Source organism: Homo sapiens, chromosome X (genome assembly GCF_000001405.40).
Source record: "Homo sapiens chromosome X, GRCh38.p14 Primary Assembly".
Taxonomy (NCBI): domain Eukaryota; kingdom Metazoa; phylum Chordata; class Mammalia; order Primates; family Hominidae; genus Homo; species Homo sapiens.
In genome coordinates, this window is record NC_000023.11 from 24,307,988 (window position 1) to 24,314,896 (window position 6,909).

General features: G+C 47.4%; 1 protein-coding gene across 1 annotated transcript, besides 1 other annotated feature; it reads right to left on the reverse strand.

Moving 5' to 3' along the window:
* Positions 1 to 222: 222 nt before the first annotated feature.
* Positions 223 to 6,082, reverse strand: SUPT20HL2 (SUPT20H like 2). Its single transcript, NM_001136233.3, has one exon. It carries the CDS (start codon positions 5,326 to 5,328, stop codon positions 2,875 to 2,877), a length of 2,454 nt encoding a protein of 817 aa, NP_001129705.3. The 5' UTR covers positions 5,329 to 6,082; the 3' UTR covers positions 223 to 2,874.
* Positions 2,664 to 3,416: an enhancer, noted in NCBI's record as "H3K4me1 hESC enhancer chrX:24328768-24329520 (GRCh37/hg19 assembly coordinates)". NCBI's record gives its function as "activates a minimal SCP1, AML or CMV promoter by ChIP-STARR-seq in naive H9 embryonic stem cells {active_cell/tissue: H9 hESC(naive)}" and the evidence as "EXISTENCE:reporter gene assay evidence [ECO:0000049][PMID:30033119]".
* Positions 6,083 to 6,909: the final 827 nt, after the last annotated feature.

Here is a 6,909-nt window from a genome sequence, read left to right on the forward strand (position 1 = left end):
TACCATCTAGGTCCTAAAGAGGCATTTTTACTTTTCTTTGGTCTGTCTTCTCCCCCATCTCCAACATTATTGTGGAAAATCCTCCTTATATAGGTGTTTAAATAAATACATACTCTAGGGTTTTATTTCAAGGGTTATATTCTTTTCTCTTCATCATTGTGGCAGTTGCATCCAATTATCAACTGTTTTGAGGATCATTATAAGGAAATAAAGACCACCAAATGATAATCAGAAACAAAACTAAATTTATTTGCCTGCCTGGGAAGGGAAGGTCACATCACTGAAGCACAAATTTGGCTGTTGTCTCCATGTCCTACTTGAAAGAAGCAGCAGGCAAAGGAGAAAGCACACCAAATTTGGTGACATACTGAATTCAGGTCACTGCTTAGCTCCGAAGGCCATGCATAAACTCTTCTCTACAACTGGTCATTGCACTCGTTCGCCTCTTAAAAGTGCAGGCACCATTCCCAATTATGTCCAGGCTGCTCTGATGGACTTGGTGTCACTTAGGAAATTCGACGTGTTTGCTTGAAGTTGGTCAAATCTTTAACAGCATCGGTAGCACATTAGTAAAAGGGTTCATCAAGTAAGATTCACTGGATACCTGTCTCTTTACTGATGTCTTTTGGAATGCCAGATCAAATCTCCTTCTATTTTGTTAAGGCAAAAAACAGAGAAATGTACATGTGTACCTAGAAAAACTAATATTACATAGGGTACCCTTCAAGGTTTTAACAGAGCAAAATATGAGGTGCTAGAACAGATGCTTGTACATGAAAGTTGACAGCAGCTCTATGCACAGCGCCCAAAAGGTAGAAACAACCCAAGTGTCCATCATCAGAATAAACAAAAATGTGCTATATACAAACAATGGAATGTTATCGAACCACAGAAAGGAATGAATTAGCAATACATTTTACGACATGGAAGAACTTCAAAAACATTATGCCGAGTGAAAGAGGCCAGACACAAAAGATCACATACTGTATGACTACATTTACAGGAAATATTTAGGTAAATCCATAGAAACAGAAAGCAAATTGGTGGTTGCCAGAGGCTGGGAGTGTGAAGATGTCACGCTAGTGCTTAATGGGTACAGAGATTGCTTGGTGGGTGATGAAAATGTTTTGGAAACAGAAGGGGTAGTTGTACAACATCATGAATGTACTAAATGCCACTTTACAATTGTACTTTACAATGGTTGGTTGTTCTGTGATTACCCCTTAGTTGTTAAAAAAGAAAAAAGAAAGGGAAGACAAAGGGGCACAAAAGTTCATGGTTCTTTGAGTCTCACTGGAACAAGGGAAAAAATGAGGGAGCAGAAACAGCTGAACAACTGATGATGATGCATCAACAAAGAGAAAAAGACAAAGAAAAAGACGGGGGTTCTACTTAAGAAACAAGGCTACAGATATTTGAAAAGCAAACCAATAAAATGGATTTTCAAATGTTTCACTAAATGTTTCTTGCAAACAACCTACAAAAAATGTAAATGATTTTATAAAGAGAGCACACAAAACATCCAAAAAGGGACTGTGGTGGGGTCGGGGGAGGGGGGAGGGATAGCATTGGGAGATATACCTAATGCTAGATGACACGTTAGTGGGTGCAGCGCACCAGCATGGCACATGTATACATATGTAACTAACCTGCACAATGTGCACATGTACCCTAAAACTTAGAGTATAATAAAAAAAAAAAAATTAAAAAAAAAAATTAAAAAAAAAAAGAAAAAAATAATAAAAATAAAAAAAAAAAGAAAAAAAAAAAAAAAAAAAAAAACATCCAAAAAGAGCCTTTTCAAAGCCAGTGAGAAAGCCTTGCTCTGTGGAGCACTAGGTGCAGACAGGGCCTTTGAAAGGGCAGGGGACTGTCACACAAGCAAATCTGCCACTAATTCCATTCCACAGCTTTAGAGGTCTCCCATGTATTCAATCGCAGTGTGACAAGCATCACTGTACTGTACTTTTTTTTCATTTTTCAAAATGAATGTGTAATAATTCCATTCCATATATTGTGCATAAACCTATTAATGTGAATACGATTACACTCTTTCTTCTGAAAGAGGTTTCTCAGAGTTTATAGGTCACTTTCATATATATTATGTACAGTGAGACCATTTTTAAAAAGCAATGACCTTCACATCACATGAGACAGCAGGGATAAATCATGAGGACATTATGCCAAGTGAGATAAGCCACTCACCAAGTGACAAATGCCATATGATTCCACTTCCATGAAATGGCCAGGGTAGTCAACTCATAGAGAAAGAAAGTAGAACAATGGCTGCCAGGGACTGGATGAGGGAGAATGGGGAGCTGGTGTTCAATGGGCATGAGTTTCAGTGTTGCAAGATGGTCTTGAGATCTGCGGCACAACCGTGGGGGTGGACTTAATACTATTGCACTGGGCACTTAAAATAGTGAAGGTGGTCCATTTTAGATTATATGTTTTTATCACCATTAAAAATTTTAAATTGCGCTCTTCTTGTTAAAATATTAACTTAAAATTAAAATCTTGTTAAAATATTAACTTAACATTGTTGGTACTGCCATTTTATGGCTCTAGAGAAATATGCTTCACAAGTTTAAACTCAACCTGGTTAGGATTTGGACACTTTAAAATACTATATTAAAAACAATTATATCAACAGCAATGACAACAAAAGGAGTAACTTAAGCAAAACAATGCCCCTTTAGGAAATCACTTCCTGTTTCTAAATAAAAATCGGTGGATTGTGCTTCTGTGTAAAGTGTGTATTTTAAAATGTAAAATACCAAAACATGAGAAAAAAAACAAAACTCAAGTAAAAACTGGGAATTCATGTGGGTCAGTGCTCCCATGCTTTTAAAAGAGAACAAACTACCACAAGCCTCAGGGAGCTGGAGGGGTTGGCTTGCCTCCCTTCCTCTGACCTACCAACTGGCTCCCTGCTTGCACACCTGGATGTGGCTGCACTATCTGAACAGCGCCTGTTGCCAAAAACACTGGCTGCTGCAGGACTCTCAAAGGCTGTGTCTGGAGCTGGATCTGCTGTGGCTGTGGTTGTGGCTGCAGCAGCAGCAGCGGCTGTGGCTGCTGCCCCAAGACAAAGGGGAGCTGGACACCCTGCTGAGGAACCTGGGCAGAGCCAAGCAGACTCAACACAGCAGCCTGGGGCTGGGGCTGCAGACCACTACCTGCTCCAGTGAGGTTCACATTAAGAAGTTGCTGAGCAGGGAAGGCCTGCCCTTGCGTGCTCAAACCTAGTGTGGAACCCTGTGGCCCTGGCTGAGGAGGGTGAGCAGCTGTGGGCTGCTGGAGCTGCTGCAGGGAAACCAGCTGATGGGACTGCTGCTGCGGGCCGGTCAGAACCGCCCAGCCCTGCGGAACCTGGAGTGTCAGAGGCCTGAGACCTTCCGGAGTATTTAGGAAAAACTGAAGGGGTGCTGGAGAAGATGCCTGCACTGCACCGGGCCTTGCATCTGGTAGTGGACCTCCTGAGGACTGAAGGCCACTGCCACTGATTCCTGCAGGAGCGGGGGCACCCGAGCCAGGGGCCTGCACAGGCTTGAAACTGCACCCCAAAACCTGGGCTCCCCGGACTGGGCCCTCCACGTTGGTGGCCTTTAGGCCAGTGGAGCCTGTCCGGACCTGAATGGCTGGGGCTATTTTTACGAATCTGGTGGGGCGCCCGGCAGCTGGACGGCGCCTGCTAGCTTTAATAAGAGGCACAGAGGGCTTCTGAGAATGGCTTGGTGCCGCCCCACCGGCCGCCGCCGCCACAGCAGCAGCAGCTAAAGCAGGAGCAGCAGCAGGAGCAGGAGCAGGAGCAGGAGCAGCAGCAGCTACAGCAGGAGCAGCAGCAGGAAATGGACGCTTAAGAGGGCTGCCTGCCTGTTGTGGGGGAAAACTGTTACCTGAGGAAATCTTTCCTGAGCTTGAGGGAAGTTGGGTGCGGGGAGGTGGATGTTTCTCTCCCTTCCCGGATACTGAAGACTGGACCCACACAGGATCAGGCTGTTCTGGTGTTTTCCATGAAGAGAGCTGACTGACACTGGCTGGGCCACTGGAGCTGTGTGACATCTTGCCTGGACCTTTGACTTTGCTCTGCACCGATTCCTGGGCCTGACTCACTGCCCTCCCAGCATCAGTCTCTGACCCAGGCCTGAGACAAGCTGAATGGTCATCTGGGAAGGGCTGCCAGGGAGACTTCTGGCTCTTCTGCCTGGCTTTTTTACGTGGCCGTATTTTACCACAGAGAAGCGGATCATTAAACGACTGCATGATGTTTGGCTTGGTGTCCCAGGCCTGACAGCCAGCTTCCCATGCATGTCTGAAAGGGTCTTCTACCTCCTGGGCTGGCCAGACTGGGAGCTGTGGGTCAGCAGCTGTGACGGACTGATACCCTTTAGCAAGTTTCTCCACATCCACTTCTGAAGGCACGGCCAAATCACAGGGTCTGCCTTTCCACGTGTCTACACAACTTCCCGCTTTAGTAATGTTCAGCTCACAAGGCTGACCTACTTTTCTTTCTTCTTTTTGGCCAGAAGTCGACACTCTCAGCTCAGGAGGAGGTGGACAGTCAGACTGCTCCTGCTGTGGCTTTACAGAGGGCCACGAATACCTCTGGAGGCACTGTTCCATCGGGTCGGTATTCATCTTTTGCTTGTTGTACAGCAGCCTGTTTGCAGTGCAGGCAACTGCTACAGAAGGATCAAGACACAGTGGTTCAGCTGTCGCTAAGATCAGTTGACTCTCAAGAGGAAATTTGTCTTCCTGGCTCCATTTCTCGCCATCTCTTGTCATCGTCTTCACCTCAGGGGCTAAAGTCTGCATGGTTGGACGTAGAAGAATATGCCTGCTTTGGTAACCAGGAGGTTGCATATTACTGGACTGCCTGTAGTCACGAACTTCTACTATGACACACCCACTATGAAAAATGTTAACCGAAGCTTTATCCAGGACATCACCCAAAGCAGGGGGTAATTCTTCTGCATCCAAGTAGTCCAGCAATGCCCTTTCTTCATAAGGCAGCCGAATGGTCTCTGCAAAGGACCCATCTTCTCTCTGGAGCATCACAGAATACCCCTGATTGCCTGGGTATAGATTGACCAGTAAACATGGCAAGGACTCTCTCCTAACAAGCTTTTCTAACAAGTTTACATTGCTTCTCAATTCCTGAGGATCCTCAGGCTCTTTTCCACATTCTTCAACATAAATGTCATAAAGTTTTTCCTGCAGAGTTTTTCCCGCCCTAGGTGAGTATCTCCTTCTAGGACGTCTCTGTTGGGCAATTTCAGTGATATTCTCTGTGCGATCCAGAGCCTGTTCTAAATCTCGATCCATTGTAACAGAAAACAGGGCCCCTAAGAGGAGAGAAAACGCATGTGCGTTGGTGAAGCAGGGTGGAATCACGGCTGTCATATTAATCTACAGGCCCGCAAGACGCCGCAAGTCCACACTGAGTTCAACACGGGCACCTGCCCAGAAACCCGCCCCCAGGGAAGCGCTACCCAATCTGTTTGAGGGTTTCTGAAAACATGGGTACCTGAGGGGTCGTCGTCGTGGCCGGGCTTCACGTCTCTGCGGCCTGGAACAGAAGTGAGCGGGAGGGCCGGGGTCAGCTTCTAGGCGCGTCTGGGCACCTGCCCAGAAACCTGCCCCCAGGGAAGCGCTACCCAATCTGTTTGAGGGTTTCTGAAAACATCGGTACCTGAGGGGTCGTCGTCGTGGCCCGGGCTTCACGTCTCTGCGGCCTGGAACAGAAGTGAGCGGGAGGGCCGTGGTCAGCTTCTAGGCGCGTCTGGGCACCTGCCCAGAAACCTGCCCCCAGGGAAGCGCTACCCAATCTGTTTGAGGGTTTCTGAAAACATCGGTACCTGAGGGGTCGTCGTCGTGGTCGGACTTCGCGTCTCTGCGGCCTGGAACGGAAGTGAGCGGGAGGGCCGGGGTCAGCTTCTAGGCGCGTCTGGGCACCTGCCCAGAAACCTGCCCCCAGGGAAGCGCTACCCAATCTGTTTGAGGGTTTCTGAAAACATCGGTACCTGAGGGGTGATTGTCGTGGCCTGGGCTTCGCGTCTCTGAGTGCTGCACCGGAAATGAACGGGAGGGCCGGGGTCAGCTACTGCGCGCCGTCTGCGCGTCTGCGCGCGTGCGCACTTGCCGCACACCGCAGATTCCAGGCGCCCCCTGCTTCTCTGGCTTCCTGGGCGCGAGGCTCACTCGCTGCACTTCCGGGTCTGCTGCCCGCGCCGGCACTCGACTACTTGCCATTTCACCTTGAAAGCGTACATGCAAAAGCACGAGCCACTAAGGACAGTATAAACACATCTTTCGTACCGCGCATAGACATCAGTTTCCACAGGAATACCACTGTCGGGAAATCATGGGAAGTTGTCACTGGTCTTGGCGGAAACTTCAACAATTGTTGGCACTTTTGGAATCTCTTGCCATCAGTGGCAGCACTGCTGCTGGTATCAGCCACTGGGCTGTGGAATGAGCCCGCATTAGCAGTGCTTCCATGCCTGGAGACGCCACAGGCTTGTGGCAAGCGTCAGGGTTCTTCATGTTGTCGTCCAGTAAGCTCCCGCCTGGGGGTGTTCATGTGGATGCCCCAGTACATGACGTTCATTTACATAATTACTCACCTTTTATTTCTCCATGTGTTGAGTTAGGGCACCTACAGATTAAAAAATTACCTGGTGGGTCATTACATTGTCTATGGATTGCAGGTCAGGATGGTAGAGAGACATGAAACCATTCATTTCTACAAGGTGATTTGCACCTGATAAGGACGAGAACAATTGTCCAGGTGATGGCAATAAATTTTCAATGATTAGAGTAAACTGTAGACCTTAGCTAAGATCCTAAAGATGGATTTGCAGCAATATCATTCAGTCTTAGGTAATTTATGGGACATTGTTTTCC

Bases quoted from the DNA above. Each gene is read 5' to 3' on its own strand.
- SUPT20HL2 (NM_001136233.3), bottom strand. From the start codon at position 5,328: ATGGATCGAGATTTAGAACAGGCTCTGGATCGCACAGAGAATATCACT.